The sequence below is a fragment of the Homo sapiens genome, chromosome 2, assembly GCF_000001405.40.
Source record: "Homo sapiens chromosome 2, GRCh38.p14 Primary Assembly".
Taxonomy (NCBI): Eukaryota; Metazoa; Chordata; class Mammalia; order Primates; family Hominidae; genus Homo; species Homo sapiens.
This window is the reverse complement of record NC_000002.12, coordinates 74,971,731-74,988,966: the sequence shown is the minus strand read 5'-3', so window position 1 is coordinate 74,988,966 and position 17,236 is coordinate 74,971,731. Positions and strand designations below refer to the sequence as shown.

The window sequence follows — 17,236 nt, the reverse complement described above, 5'->3', positions numbered from 1 at the left end:
GTTACTATTTCTCCACATCCTCTCCAGCACCTGTTGTTTCCTGACTTTTTAATGATCACCATTCTAACTGGCATGAGATGGTATCTCATTGTGGTTTTGATTTGCATTTCTCTGATGACCAGTGAAGATGAGCACTTTTTCATGTGTCTGTTGACTGCACAAATGTCTTCTTTTGAGAAGTGTCTGTTCATATCCTTTGCCCACTTTTTGATGGGGTTGTTTGTTTTTTTCTTGTAAATTTGTTTGAGTTCTTTGTAGATTCTGGATATTAGCCCTTTGTCAGATGGGTAGATTGCAAAAATTTTCTCCCATTCTGTAGGTTGCCTGTTCACTCTGATAGTAGTTTCTTTTGCCATGCAGAAGCTCTTTAGTTTAATTAGATCCCATTTGTCTATTTTGGCTTTCGTTGCCATTGCTTTTGGTGTTTTAGTCATGAAGTCCTTGCCCATTCCTATGTCCTGAATGGTATTGCCTGGGTTTTCTTCTAGGGTTTTTTATGGTTTTAGGTCTAACATTTAAGTCTTTAATCCATCGTGAATTAATATTTATATAAGGTATAAGGAAGGGATCCAGTTTCAGCTTTCTACATATGGCTAGCCAGTTTTCCCAGCACCATTTATTAAATAGGGAATCCTTTTCCCATTTCTTGTTTTTGTCAGGTTTGTCAAAGACCAGATGGTTGTAGGTGTGGTGTTATTTCTGAGGCCTCTGTTCCATTCCATTGGTCTATATCGCTGTTTTGGTACCAGCACCATGCTGTCTTGGTTACTGTAGGCTTGTAGTGCAGTTTGAAGTCAGGTAGCATGATGTCTCCAGCTTTGTTCTTTTGTCTTAGGATTGTCTTGGCAAAGCGGGCTCTTTTTTAGTTCCATATGAACTTTAAAGTAGTTTTTTCCGATTCTGTGAAGAAAGTCATTGGTAGCTTGATGGGGATGGCATTGAATCTATAAATTACCTTGGGCAGTATGGCCATTTTCATGATATTAATTTTTCCTATCCAAGAGCATGGAATTTTCTTCCATTTGTTTGTGTCCTCTTTTATTTCGTTGAGCAGTGGTCTTCTTGAAGAGGTCCTTCACATCCCTTGTAAGTTGGATTCCTAGGTATTTTATTCTCTTTGAAGCAATTGTGAATGGGAGTTCGCTCATGATTTGGCTCTCTGTTTGTCTGTTATTGGTGTATAGGAATGCTTGTGATTTTTGCACATTGATTTTGTGTCCTGAGACTTTGCTGAAGTTGCTTATCAGTTTAAGGAGATTTTGGGCTGAGACGATGGGGTTTTCTAAATATACAATCATGTCATCTGCAAACAGGGACAATTTGACTTCCTCTTTTCCTAATTGAATATCTTTATTTCTTTCTCTTGCCTGATTGCCCTGGCCAGAACTTCCAACACCATTTAGAAAACGAGTGGTGAGAGGGGCCATCCTTGTCTTGTGCCGGTTTTCAAAGAGAATGCTTCCAGTTTTTGCCCATTCAGTATGATATTGGCTGTGGGTTTGTCATAAATAGCTCTTATTATTTTGAGATACGCTCCATCAATACCTAGTTTTTAGCATGAAGTGCTGTTGAATTTTTTCGAAGGCCTTTTCTGTATCCATTGAGATAATAATGTGGTTTTTGTCATTGGTTCTGTTTATGTGATGGATTGTTTATTGATTTGCGTATGTTGAATCAGCCTTGCATCCCAGGGATGAAGCCAACTTGATCGTGGTGGATAAGCTTTTTGGTGTGTTGCTGGATTCGGTTTGCCAGTATTTTATTAAGGATTTTCGCATCGATGTTCATCAGGGATATTGGTCTAAAATTCTCTTTTTTTGTTGTGTCTCTGCCAGGCTTTGGTATCAGGATGATGCTGGCCTCATAAAATGAGTTAGGGAGGATTCTCTTTTTCTATTGATTGGAATCGTTTCAAAAGGAATGGTACCAGCTCCTCTTTGTACCTCTGGTAGAATTCGGCTGTGAATCCATCTGGTCCTGGACTTCTTTTGGTTGGTAGGCTATTAATTATTGCCTCAATTTCAGAGCCTGTTATTGGTCTTCCTGGTTTAGTCTTGGGAGGGTGTATGTGTCAAGGAATTTAGGGAATGGGTTACTTTTTAAATGGTATATTGAAGCCAGGCCCTGTGGCTCACACCTGTAATCCCAGCACTTTGTGAGGCTGAGGCAGGCAGATCACTTGAGGTCAGGAGTTCGAGACCAGCCTGACCGTCTCTACTAAAAAAGTACAAAACTTAGCTGGGTGTAGTGGCAGGCACCTATAATCACAGCTACTCGGGAGGCTGAGGCAGGAGGATCACTTGAACCCGGCAGGTGGAGGTCACAGTAAGCTGAGATCATGCCACTGCACTCCAGCCTGTGCAATGGAGTAAGAATCTGCCTCAAAAAAAAGAATAAAAAATAAAATGACATATGGAAAACTGAGTACTCAGAAAATCAGTAAAGTTGGATTCCTATGTCACTCTGTGGGCCAAAATTAATCCCAGATGGATCCAAAATTTAAACATTAAAAGAAAACAAAAGAATATTGAAAAAGAAAAGCTTGGGAGGAAGGAGAACTAGTAGGAGGGAGAGGCCGCCTGTCTCCAGACACCTGTGTGTTCAGTCCCACTGCAGCTGGTTGCAGTCTCCTGCCTAGCCCTGACCAGTCCTCTGACTGGTCCTTCAAGTCAAAAATTAACAGTGCAAAGATCACTGGGGGTCGGGGTGGACTGGACTTCATCATAACACTAGCAACAGCATCAATCAGCATTTGCTGGTCAGCAGTAAGCTGCCCTGCTGGAGACAGTCGGGTACCCCCGACGAGCTCAGGGCTTGCAGGACAGCTGCAGGGTCCTCATGGGACCTGCTCTGTGGGGAAGTGTAGCTGTGCTGCCGGCTGTCCAGCTTCCTGTTCTTCCTGCCCATTTTTCAAATCTGCTTATTTAGCCTTCCTGCTTATTTTATGAGCTACTTTACATTAAATTATTTTTGTTTAAAATCAACGGTTCATTTGCTGCTGACAACTTAGAATGTTAACTACACACATATATTTTTAACATAAATTGGGTGTGTCAACATGTGTGTTTCACATATGTACCCTTATATGGCTTGCTTTTTGCCTTAAAATTATATATCTATGAATATGAAATTTGCATACAAAAAGGTTGGAAGGTTAACACAGCAAACTGGTAACAGTTGTTACCTATGGGGATGGTGAGATTGACTGTGGAGTGGGAGTAAAAAGAACTTACATTTTTAAATTTATCTTCTGTGGTTTTAATTTTCCATAGTAATCATAGATTTACCTACTACTCTTTTAAACCAAAAACATCTTAATGAGATTTTTGAGATCAATCTTCTATTTGTCTTACAGCAGACCCTGAGTGGGGACACTGAGGCTGTAATGACAAAACAGACAGACCCCATCATTCCCTAATGGAGCTGGCCATCCAATGGGAGGCTCAGACTGGGAAACAGGCAATTACTCAACAGTGTGGCGAGCCCTGTGATGGGAAGAGAGAGGGATATGGGATCCCAGAGTAAGGGCATTTACCTGCCTCTAGAGGGTGGACAGGAAAACCTTCCTGGCCTCAGACTTAAACAGTGAGTAGGAGTTAGGCAGGCAAACAGGGGAGAGGAGAAGAGGCAGAAAGTACACCAGGCAGGGTGAACAGCATCAGTGAAGCCTCAGACCAGGGCTTCCTCAGGAACTCCAAAGCAGCTGAAGCACAGGGAGGGGAGAGGGGAAAATCAGCATAGAAAGGTGGGCAATGTCCCATCACAAAGACTTTTTGAAGTCTTACTAAGCAGTCTGGACCTTATCCGAGGGCCTGAGGGCAGTCACAGGAGGACTGCATTCCCTTTAGAATGATCCCTTAGCTGTCTTTTCTCCACGAGATTTCATCAGCTGTGAAGCAAGCATGTTTATTCTCAGTGTCTCACAAATGCAAAATTCTCTTTTAAAATACTGGGTAGTGTTTTCCTAGCTTCAACTGAAGGGGGACCCTCCATCCATCTGTCCCCAGCTTTTGAATCCTGGCTCTCAAGGCTAACTTAAATAGATACTTTCCTTCAGGACTGACTATACCATCATTCCTAAACCACTAGCTATATAAAATTGTGAGAATCAGACCCTGGGAGAAATCTTGCCCTTTACAAAAGTTGAGTGCAGTGGAATTCCCTTGTCAAATCCTCCACAGGTCTATTCAGCGGTAGATCACAAGCTCTCCTGGGAATCTTCTCTCCCCATTTCGGTTATGTCTGACATTTTTCTCTACTAGGATACTTGTTCTGAATTACAGACCTTCTCACTTTTACAAACTATGTCATGAAATCACTGTATTTCATGTCACTCATGATTATGAGGGACATTAAGAGAAAACAAAAACCCAATTTAGCTTTCGTTTTTAACATGCGCCATATAGTAACAATTTAAAGAGGAGGAATCTAGAAATTATCCCTAAAATTTTCATCCAGCATTCACCAGATTAGTATTTTATTATTTCTAAACACAGAAGGCACAAAGTTTCTTTTTAGCAGGTAAGACAAATAAGAAATACTGTCACACAATGTTTTGAAATACAGTTTCACAGATGCTTATTCTGAAATGACACATTTCTTTAAAATGCATTGACAGTCTCTAGTGAATTCACTATCTTTACTCAGGTAATTTTAAAAGCTAAATGTTGATCTCTGTTTTGTGACACTGGTGTGACATCCCTGAGATGAGAGCAGATAATTTCTACAGCTGTCACTGCCCTGCAGCGCCCTAGTCAGTCTCTATTTATCTTTTCTAATAAGGTAGAGATGCGCTCATTATCGGCTCATCAAGAAACATCACAAGCTGACCAGCACAGACATCTTTTTAAAAGCATGTCTTTCTCCTTTTGCTATCCTGCACTCTATTAGGGAGTGGGGAGGGCAAGGGACATGTTGTCTGTCTTTGGCTGTCCAGCTCTCCAGCTGTCTCCAAAGAGCCCCTTCATGGTAACATTAATAATCTCAGTGAGTATTTCTCAGGCCGAGAAACCTGGGATTGTCAGCACATAAAATGAACCTTTTTCTCAGAAACATACTCTCATTAGCCAAGCTCAGTGTCTGATGTACATGTCTGGTGTTTCCCTTATGTGTCTTTGAAATAGCCCTCATTACTTATTTAGAGCTTTTGTTACCATAGGCAACCCACACTCAGAACAGGAAAGTCTGGAAGGCTCAGTATGCATTACTGAAGGCCAAGATTATAGGTAAGAAAAGCTACGATAGCAATGTCTAATGTTGACTGAACATGATGTGCCAAGCACTGTGCTGAGAGTTTTAGTAGTGTTATCTCATGGGACCCCCACAATAACCTCATGAAATTGTGATGGGTATTATTAAGCAGGCTTAGAAATGCTCATATGAGCATTCTACACAGTCATACAGTTAAGGGTTGCAAAGATGAGATGCTGTGGCTTAGGCTTCTGGATGTCCACTAAAATCTGTCACTTGACCATAATAATAAAGTTGTACCTGGGCACACGGCCTCCTGGCCAGATACTGTATTTCTTAGCTGTTTTTGAAGTAGGGATTGGCCAGTTAACTAAGTGTGGTCAATGGGATTTGAACTAAAATAATGTGTGCAACTTCTGGGTCATTGCCAACTTAAAAACAAGCACCTTGTCCTACTAACACTCTCCTCCCTCTTCGTATGAACTAGAACTAGACTTGGAGACCTCCCACCTTTGATCTAGAGTTGCTCTTTTAAGTACAGTAACCACTAGCCACCTGCAGCTATTTACATTTAAATTAATTAAAATCAATATTAAAATTTTAGTTCAATTTTTATTTTGAACTAATCACATTGGTTCAGTCACACTAGCCACATTTCAACTGCTCAATAGCCAGATGTAGCTGCTGACTGTCATATTATACACCATGGATGTAGAACATTTCCATCATCACAGAAAATTCTATTGGACAGTGCTATAGTAAGGAAAGACAAAGCAGTAAGATGAAAAGAGCCTGGGTCCCAGAATAACCCCATGGAACTGAGCTGCCCTGCTAGTCTAGATCAGTTGAAGTGTTACAAGGAAGAGAAATAAACTTCTACTTTATTTAAGCCAGTATGTTCTAGGCATATTTGTTACAACAAATTAATCTTTACACTAATACAGAAAACCGTGCCTGTCATTGCCAGGTAATTCAGCACAACAGCCAGTGAGTGGCAGTGCTCTCTGTCTTGTGTTGAGACTGGACATTTGTGTTTCAATTATTTTGGAACTGGTCCACGATGCCCCACACCCTCAATGAGGCCAGATCATCTCCTCCTGATTCTACAGCTTTTCCTTTCTCTTTCTTCCTCCCCCAACTCATCTGAAACATCGAAATATTTATAGAATTTTATAAATATGGGCATAATGCAGTCTGCAGTCTCCCAAGTATGAGTGACCAAAATGCCTCAATTCCTTCCTATATCACTTCCTGTGGGAAATTTTCTTTTAACATATATGTTTTCTGGTAGTATAGAATTTTCTAAGAACATATTCCTTGCCCGTATCCCTTGCTTGTCCGTGGCTTGGCGAGTCAGCAATCTACAAGTGGAATCACTCACGAGGACTGAAATATTCCAAGTAAATATGGCCACCACATCCTCTCATCTCCCCACAGTGAAGCAACAAGGATTGAAAAATCATAGCCAGAAATGGCCCCATTCATTCACAAAGAAAAATCAATGTCACAGTGAATGCAAATAGTCCAACTTCCCATAACAAGCACCTTCTCTCCCTACAGACAGAGTTACGTGGGAAGCCAAGTCAGCATCAAACTGTTGCTTGGAAAAGGTGGGCTCAGAACAAAGGAAGTTGGATATATGATTGCAGTGTTTAAAGGTACCTGAATGGGACAGGCTGACAGGTCTGTCTTGCCAATGGGACCATAGCACTATACACAGAGGCACTGACTAAGGCTCTAGTGACCCCATGTAGTGTAGAACAGGCCCTAGCAACATTTGTCTCTGGGACTCCTTCCTCACTTTCATCACTGACCAGTGTCCCCTACTACTGATGCCTTCTTTTAGATATATTTGATCAGGTCAAGTTGAGTCTGAGGCTGAATCGCTTTATTTTAAGGTTCTACTCTCAAGGGACAATCTTCCTACCTCTTGTTCCAAATTCTTGGGGAGAGCCCACCACAGCTTGCATACTAGAGCATATTATTCGGAGCACAAGGCTCTTGATTATGGTATTCTGAGCAGATGCTCACACATTTCCTTTGCACTACAAGAAATTTTTCAAGCAGGGACAATACATTTCTGAGGTTCAGATAACTTGTAGTGAATGATACATGAGAACTCTGTGTATTAAACTCCGTATGTGGCTTGAAAAAAGTCTGGGAGGCTTCTGGGCCAGAATCCGTTGAAAAGTGTAATTGTCATTTCTCAGAAAACTCAAGGGAAATTTCTAAAATCATCACAGCCTAACCCTGATTTTGAAATCGCCCTTGCAAAGATTGTAACAGTGAGACAAATATGGCATGGTTGACTCCATCTTGCCTGTAGCCTCACAGGCTCTCTCCCAAGTAGCTGGGATTACAGGTGAGTGCCACCATGCCTGGCTAATTTTTGTATTTTTAGTAGAAATGGGGTTTCACCATGTTGCCCAGGCTGGTCTCGAACTCCTGGCCTCAAGTGATCCTCCTGCCTCAGCCTCCCAAAGTGCTGGGATTATAGGTTCATGCCACTGTGCCCAGCCCATGTATAACTCTTTTAGTGGATATATGTTTTCATGTTCCTTAAGTAAGTGCCTAAGGCAATTGCTAGTTTATAGGATAGGTGATGTTTAGTTTTATTGCAGTAACATTTCAAATGTTGTCTTTAACACATGAAAACATGTACATCACATCCTTGGACAAGCTTAGGTGAGGATGGACAAGACACACAAAGGTATTTACACTTACATGCACACACTCTCTAAAGAGGACATGTCATTAGCATGATTAATTATTGGCCACTATCCAGTTCTGTATGTTTGTAACTCTCCATGGAGAAATGGAGATCTGGGACAATGGGTGGATTTTGTTTTTAGGAAGTCTGACTTCAGAGGGAATTAAATTGAAGGCCTCAAGTGATTTGCTAACCGGGGAGAGAAATCAAGGAGTAGGTATGGCCAGCAGGCTGCCACCAATGAAGGATTGAAGAGGTGGTCCAATATTGCCTTGTGGTAAGCCCTCACAGCACCACCCACACAGTCAGTTCTACTCGTGTCTGGAAACCTCATTTTGACAGCTTTCAGGGATCTTAGAGACCATCGCAGTGTAGCTTGCTGAAAATAAGCCCTGGAATCACATTGGCTGGATCCAAATCCCAGCTTTAACCCTAATTCCTATGTGACCTTAGGTCTAAGCCTCAGTTTTCTCATTTGTACAATGGAGATAATAGTACCTTCTGCACAGAGCTGTCAGGAAACTTAAATGAGATCTTGCACCTCGAGTGCTTAACACAGGGCCCAAAACAATGGATGCTCCAAGTACACCCTCTATCGTTATCATGTCTACATCCTCGTTTTAGAGAAACAGTGGACCAAGAAAGCAGAGTGTCCTGCCAGTGCTAAACAGCTAGGAAAGAGCAGAGTGAGAGTTAACTTAGGTCTGTTGACTCCAAATCCATGCCCCTTCTGCCTCAGCATGCTGCCTTCTTCAATGAGGCTAGGGGCTCAAAAAGACAACTTTCTCCAACCTATCTGGGCCCAATGCAGTCTGTGCAGAAAACCTAGAAGACATTTGTGGCTGAATGCAGGTCATTCCTAGAGAATGAGGGGGGTGGAATCATGGAATTACAGTTCAGGCTAGGCTCCACCACTTAATTTCTCACTCTCTTTATTACCTATACTATATTATCACTGAAATTTTTATTCTGAACCATTTAAGAGGAAGTTGCACTTGTGAGCATTCAAGCTCACTCTTTTAATATCTCTGAGCCTACTTCCTCTTCTGTGATGTGGGAATAATAATGCATCATGAGAATGCCTGGCATATTGTAGCACTCTACAAGTGAGATCCTTGTTGCCTTTGGGGCTCTAACTCCTGTACTGGAACAGAGATCATTGTCCAAGAGGAGCTATCACCTCCCAGGTCCCAGAGAACACAGAGAAAAAAAAGTGTAACCTGGCTTCCAGAAAATTGGGAGATTTTATCGCTCTTGGGAAACCAATAGGCAACACTGGGACAAGCAATCTCAGGGCCAGCTCAGAGATTTACTGTTTAGTCCCAGCCTAGTATCACAAAGTTTTTCCAATCTCCTCCTAGTTCTTCTGGTCCCTCCTCACAACACAACAATGTGCATCATATACTAAGCAATGCAGAAAAAAATACAGACAAAGGATTAAAAAAAATTGCACCACCTAGAAATAACCATCATTAAGTAAAAATCACTTTACACATACTTCCATGAGAGAAAGATGGGTAGAATGAGCAGACAGGTAAACAGAAATACTTACATAAAATAATACAACACCTGCTATTTTAATTACAAAATACTAAAGTTGCCTTTAGAAGAAAATTTAACAGAAGGAAAAGCTCCAAGTGAAAATGAACTTTATGCTGGACTTCGAATGTTTCTTTGGCATAAGAAAAATGATTTCTGAACACACTCCTTGAAGGTTAAGAGACTATAAAAATTTAAGAAATTCAAGCTATTTTTAAGGTCAGGCATGGTGGCTCATGCCTGTAATCCCAGCACTTCGGGAGGCCGAGGCGGGTGGATCACAAGTTCAAGAGATTGAGACCATTCTGGCCAACATGGTGAAACGCCGTCTCTAATAAAAATACAAAAATTAGCTGGGCATAGTGGTGTGTGCCCGTAATCCCAGCTACTCGGGAGGCTGAGGCAGGAGAATCGCTTAAACCCGGGAGGCAGAGGTTGCAGTGAGCTGAGATTGCGCCACTGCACTACAGCCTGGTGACAGAGCGAGACTCCGTCTCAAAAAAACAAAGAAAAAGAAAAAGAAAAAAAAGAAATTCAAGCTTTTTTTTAAACCATGTTTCCGTTTTAGAGAATATAAATTGACTGGCAATGAAAAGTGAGGTCTGCAACCTCCCCTTCATTTCTTTACGTATTAGTTAGCTTTTGGGCTCGTTTCATTGAGTTTATGATGTTACTATTCTGTAATTCAAACACTCAGGAGGAATTTTCTTCTGTACCTTGGACTATGCTTTCTTCTAGACTGGGCTCCTTGCCTTTGGACACTTTTTGGTTTTGCTCTTGCTTATTATATAGTTGTGCTATTTCTTTTCACTCTGCTCATGTTTGGGCAGTCTTTCCATTTTGCTGTGATATAATAATAACAATATTACCTGACACAACTATATGGCACTTAATATGTGCCAGGTGCTGTTCTAAGAGCTTTCCATATATTAACTCATTTAATCCTCACAAGAATCCTGAGGTATTATCACTATTCCCATTTTACAGATTAGAAAGTTTCAGCACAAAGAAATTAAGTGACTTGTTTAAATAACTTAATCTTTTTTTTTTTTTTTTTTTTTTTTTTTTTTTTGACACAGAGTCTCGCTCTGTCGCCCAGGCTGGAGTGCAGTGGCGCTATCTCGGCTCACTGCAAGCTCCGCCTCCTGGGTGCACGCCATTCTCCTGCCTCAGCCTCCTGAGTGGCTGGGACTACAGGCGCCCGCAACCACGCCCGGCTAATTTTTTGTATTTTTAGTAGAGACGGGGTTTCACCATATTGGCCAGGCTGGTCTCAATATCCCGACCTCGTGATCAGCCCGCCTCGGCCTCCCAAAGTGCTGGGATTACAGGTGTGAGCCACCGCGCCCGGCCGTAACTTAATCTCTTAATGGTGAAGTGGATATGACTCACAGAGTCTCCTTTCTCGAATGCCTCCTAAGTAGCAGATAAGAAACTAGGGATTCTGGCTCCGGCATCCATTTTCTTGGCCACTTTACTTTCCACTACACCTGAGGTCAATTTGTGCTCTCAACTGAGCTGCAGTTTGAGGGCGCTTCTATGTATTTCTATATACCTGACCTGAAGGTATGGTGAGTGGAGAGGGACGATTCAGCTTAGAAGGTGTGCCATCTTGGAGGTTTAACACACAGTACTAGGATTTACTCCGCCTACTTGGAGCTACATTCCATCCCCTTAGCTCTAGATGCATCCTCTAGCTTAGCCTATAGCCCTCACATCCACTGAAGAGTTCATCTCCATCTGCTTCACCCATTTCTCCCCAGGAACCCTTTCCACTTCTCCACAGTCAGAAAAGGGAAAAGCTACCAACCCTTTGGTTTAATTTCCTCCTGACTGAGAGTATAAAAACTCTCCAAGATTTGGGTGACTTATAGTTATGACTTCTGGCAGACGGGTTTAGAAACCTTTCTGTGTCATGCACTTCCTCTCAATTCTAGAATCTTCCATGTCATTCCTTATTTGCTTGTTAAAGTTTGTGGCACTGCAACGTGCCCCATTCCTTGACTGCTGGGGCAAAATATTTTGCTAATTTGTATGAACTTGGTGGGGGGGGGGCAGGGATTGCTCATTTATTAAATTAGGCATTAGAGAGACTGTGAGACATATCTACCTCACCATCCTGATCCAGATATGCATACAGCATACCATCCATTTTTCTTGAAGATTCCAAGTTAGCTAGATATTGTAGATCTGATCAGGGAAACTAGCTTCCTACAGGAAACGAAGGAAGAAGAAACACAAAACTTTAAACAGTATAAAAAATACAAGATGGTACAGAGAACATTCTGAGCTAATTAGGGGAAAAAAAGAAAAATGCTTTAAGTGTTAAGATGTCCAGAGATATGAAGCCTTGAATGAGGAATGTCAGATCCCTGATTCAGATACAATGAAGAAATCAGGAACACATTTTAAATTTCCTAGGTCGAGCGCAGTGGCTCATGTCTGTAATCCCAACACTTTGGGAGGCCAAGGCAGGTGGATCACTTGAGGTCAGGAGTTTGAGACCAGCCTGGCCAACATGGTGAAACCCTGTCTCTACCAAAAATATAAAAAATTAGCCGGGTGTGGTGGCACGTGCCTGTAATCCCAGGTACTTGGGAGGCTGAGGCAGGAGAATCACTTGAACCCAGGAGGCGGAGGTTGCAGTGAGCCGAGATCATCCCACTGCACTCCAGCCTGGGCGACAGAGCAAGACTCCATCTCAAAATAAATAAATAAATAAATAAATAGGACAGTTTTCTACTTTTTAGCATAATGTTCTCTGATTCTTTTTGAATATTAGTCCTTCACACTGTTAATATCAGATTTCAATAGCTTGCTTTTCCCCGTCTCCAAGCATGATCTTTACCACCAGGAAATTCTGCTTTAGTGCTCCCAGTCAGATATACTGGGAATGCCTGGTCTCTTTCTGATCCATTAGCCCGTGACTGATAGACACTGAGGCAGGAGGAGGGCACAGGAGTTGGTGACCACAAAGGAAGCCCTGCTTCTCCACAGGGGCTTATACCAAAAGGTGGAAAAGTGAGGAGTCCCCTGGAAGGCACAGGTGCCTCATTTGAGTCATCTCACCAACAGAGCTGAGTGCAGCTAAGAACCATTTATAGCATTTTTTTCAAAATTTAATGTCTTGTGGAACTGGGAGAAAATATTTACATAATACATATCTGGTAAATGCAAATTAAAACCACATTGAAATACCCCTACACACCTATTATAATGGCAAAAATTTTTAATACCAACTGCTGACATGGATGCAAAACAACTGAAATTCTTAAACACTGCTGGTATAAGTACAAAATGGTACAGCCGCTTTGGAAAATAGTTGGCATTTTCTTTAATAATTAAACATACACTTAAATAAGATCCAGCAATCCTACTCCTATATACCTAAGAGACAACAAAAAGTGATGTTCACACAAAAACCTATATGCAAATGTTACAGTAGCATTATTCATAATCACTAAAAACTGGAAGTCTCAAATGCCCTTCAATTGGCAGATAAACAGATTGTGGTACTTACATCCCATACAACAAAACACTATTCAACAATAAAAAGGAACATACTACTGATAGCATGCAACATGGATGAACCTTAAATGCCTTATGCTAAATTGAAGCCAGACTCAAAAAGCTACATACTGTGTGATTTGATTTATATGACATTCTGGAGGTGGCAAAATCACAGGGACAATAGATTACTGGTTTCCACAGACATTATTGGTGGGATGGGTTGACTACAAAGGCGTGGCATGAGGGAATTTTGTGGTGATGTAACTGTTCTATACCTTGTGATGGTGATTTTAGGTATTTAATGTTCAGAGCTGCACACTAAAATAGGTAAATTTTGCTGAAAAAAATAAAGTTCACAAAAGAAAAATATGTCCTGTGGAAAAAACTTTAAAATAACCCACTTAATTGGTAAGAGAAAGCTCAGGAAGGGTAAGTGATTAACACATCATGGGAGATAATGAGTAGCAGGATGAAAACCAGTGTCTCCCGGACCCCATCCAGGATCCTTTCCACTACAGTAGTATTCCTGATTTTTTTTTTACCTTGACTTTCAGTGAGAAGTATATTAGTTTTCTATTGCTGCTATAATAACTTACCACAAATTCAGCACCTTAGACACTTATTTTCCTCAGAGTTCTGCAGGCCAGAGGTCCAGTATGGCATAACTAGATTCTCTGCTCGGGGTTTCACAAGGCCAAAGCAAATGTGTCAGAATGTGTCAGCTGGCCCGGCTGTTCTGAGGAGGCTTGAGGGGAAAATCCACATTCAACTGGACAGACTACCGGCAGAATTCCGTTCCATGTGGTTGTAAGACTGAGGCTGTTTCCTCACTGCTGATCATCACTCTCAGTGTCTAAATCTGCCCACATTTCCTGCCTTATGCCCCCCTCCATCTTCAAAGCCAGCAACAGGCCTTGTCCTTTTCATGCCTTAAATCTGACAGCCCCTTCCGCCCTCAGCTGGCGGAAAGCTGTTTTTAAGAGCTCACGTAATTACTCTGGGCCTGCACAAACAATCCAGGATAATCTACTTGAAGGTCAACAGATTAGTAACATGACTTATACCTGCAAAATCTGTCATGTAATGTAACACATTCAGGGGCATAACACCAGCAGGTGAAGGTGATGGGGGCCTCCCTTCTGCCCACCATATACTTTTTACACAATAACCTAATGTACACACGTGTAAATGAAACAATTACAACACTTACCTTTACTAAATTCAACACTGTTACTACTTCAAAATGCTAGTGGCAACACACTTTGATTTCATACCCCACTGAGCTGCAAACTGTAATCTGAGTTTATCTTGAAAACGGACCACGATGTCCTTTTAAATTCCCATTGGCAATGATAATAGGAGGCCTACAGAAGGGCCTCTGGGGTCTGTTTCATGCTCAAAATCATATGCAACGTTATAGAACTAATTACAAGAAAAACAAGACAATCCCCAGTTAGGGAGATCCTACAGAATACCCAGCCAGCACTACTCAGGCTGTCAAGGTCATGAAAAATGAGGAAAGACTAAGAAACTGCCATAGACCAGTGAAGACTGGGACAACATGACAAGTAAATGTGATATAGTAACATGGATCTGGGAATAGAAAAGGAGTATTAATGAAGAAAATGATGAAATCCAAATAGACTGTAGTTAACAGTAACCTATAAATGTCAGTTTCTCAGTTGTGACAAATGTACTTGGTAATGTCGTTAACAATGGGGAAACTAGGTAAGGGGCATATAAGACTTCTCTCTACTACCTTTGCAACTCTTCTGCAAATCTAGTATTACTCCAAAATAAAGCTTATTTTTTAAATGTGACAGTACTGAACATCTGTGCATCATTCCAGGGAGCAAATCCCATGGACTATTTTAAAAATGGTCCATGACCCAGTAATACTTGAGAACCACTGTCCAAGGCTTCCTGCTGCTTTCCTTAACTGCTACTTTCTAGGTACTCTGCCTCCTTCCTGTTATGTCACCCACACCTTTCCTCCAAACCAAAATTTAGCCAGGGACTGCAGGATGTAGGGAATGAGGAATGATTATTTAATGAGTATGAAGTTTCAGCTTGGGAAGATTTTTAAAGTTCTGGAGATAGATGATGGGGTTAGTTGCACAACAATGTGAATGTACTTAATGCCACTATATGCTTAAGAATTGTTATAAAAGTAAATTTTACTTTATGTACAATTTACCACAATTTTTTAAAATGAGGTACTAGTAGATGCTATATAGCATGGATAATCCTTAAAAACATTATCAAAGTGAAAAAACCCAGACACAATAGACCACATTGTTACATGATTCCATTCATATGAAAATGGTCAACATTAGACAGATCAACGAGACAGAAAGTCAACAAGGATACCCAGGAATTGATCTCAGCTCTGCACCAAGCAGACCTAATAGACATCTACAGAACCCTCCACCCCAAATCAACAGAATATACATTTTTTTCAGCACCACACCACACCTATTCCAAAATTGACCACATACTTGGAAGTAAAGCTCTCCTCAGCAAATGTAAAAGAACAGAAATTATAACAAACTATCTCTCAGATCACAGTGCAATGAAACGAGAACTCAGGATTAAGAATCTCACTCAAAACCGCTCAACTACATGGAAACTGAACAACCTGCTCCTGAATGACTACTGGGTACATAACGAAATGAAGGCAGAAATAAAGATGTTCTTTGAAACCAACGAGAACAAAGACACAACATACCAGAATCTCTGGGACATATTCAAAGCAGTGTGTAGAGGGAAATTTATAGCACTAAATGCCCACAAGAGAAAGCAGGAAAGATCCAAAACTGACACCCTAACATCACAATTAAAAGAACTAGAAAAGCAAGAGCAAACACATTCAAAAGCTAGCAGAAGGCAAGAAATAACTAAGATCAGAGCAGAACTGAAGGAAATAGAGACACAAAAAACCCTTCAAAAAATTAACGAATCCAGGAGCTGGTTTTTTGAAAGGATCAACAAAATTGATAGACCGCTAGCAAGACTAATAAAGAAAAAGAGAGAGAAGAATCAAATAGACGCAATAAAAAATGATAAAGGGGATATCACCACCGATCCCACAGAAATACAAACTACCATCAGAGAATACTACAAACACCTCTACGCAAATAAACTAGAAGATCTAGAAGAAATGGATAAATTCCTCAACACATACACTCTCCCAAGACTAAACCAGGAAGAAGTTGAATCTCTGAATAGACCAATAACAGGAGCTGAAATTGTGGCAATAATCAATAGCTTACCAACCAAAAAGAGTCCAGGACCAGATGGATTCACAGCTGAATTCAACCAGAGGTACAAGGAGGAACTGGTACCATTCCTTCTGAAACTATTCCAATCAATAGAAAAAGAGGGAATCCTCCCTAACTCACTTGATGAGGCCAGCATCATCCTGATACCAAAGCCAGGCAGAGACACAACCAAAAAAGAGAATTTTAGACCAATATCCCTGATGAACATTGATGCAAAAATCCTCAATAAAATACTGGCAAACCGAATCCAGCAGCACATCAAAAAGCTTATCCACCATGATCAAGTGGGCTTCATCCCTGGGATGCAAGGCTGGTTCAATATACGCAAATCAATAAATGTAATCCAGCATATAACCAGAACCAAAGACAAAAACCACATGATTATCTCAATAGATGCAGAAAAGGCCTTTGACAAAATTCAACAACCCTTCATGCTAAAAACTCTCAATAAATTAGGTATTGATGGGACGTATCTCAAAATCATAAGAGCTATCTATGACAAACCCACAGCCAATAGCATACTGAATGGGCAAAAACTGGAAGCATTCCCTTTGAAAACTGGCACAAGACAGGGATGCCCTCTCTCACCACTCCTATTCAACATAGTGTTGGAAGTTCTGGCCAGGGCAATGAGGCAGGAGAAGGAAATAAAGGGTATTCAGCTAGGAAAAGAGGAAGTCAAATTGTCCCTGTTTGCAGATGACATGATTGTATATCTAGAAAACCCCATTGTCTCAGCCCAAAATCTCCTTAAGCTGATAAGCAACTTCAGCAAAGTCTCAGGATACAAAATCAATGTACAAAAATCACAAGCATTCTTATACACCAACAACAGACAAACAGAGAGCCAAATCATGAGTGAACTCCCATTCACAATTGCTTCAAAGAGAATAAAATACCTAAGAATCCAACTTACAAGGGATGTGAAAGACCTCTTCAAGGAGAACTACAAACCACTGGTCAAGGAAATAAAAGAGGATACAAACAAATGGAAGAACATTCCATG

General features: G+C 41.0%; 1 annotated feature.

Annotated features, from left to right (window-relative positions):
• Positions 4,514-5,015: an enhancer, noted in NCBI's record as "NANOG hESC enhancer chr2:75211079-75211580 (GRCh37/hg19 assembly coordinates)". NCBI's record gives its function as "activates a minimal SCP1, AML or CMV promoter by ChIP-STARR-seq in primed H9 embryonic stem cells {active_cell/tissue: H9 hESC(primed)}" and the evidence as "EXISTENCE:reporter gene assay evidence [ECO:0000049][PMID:30033119]".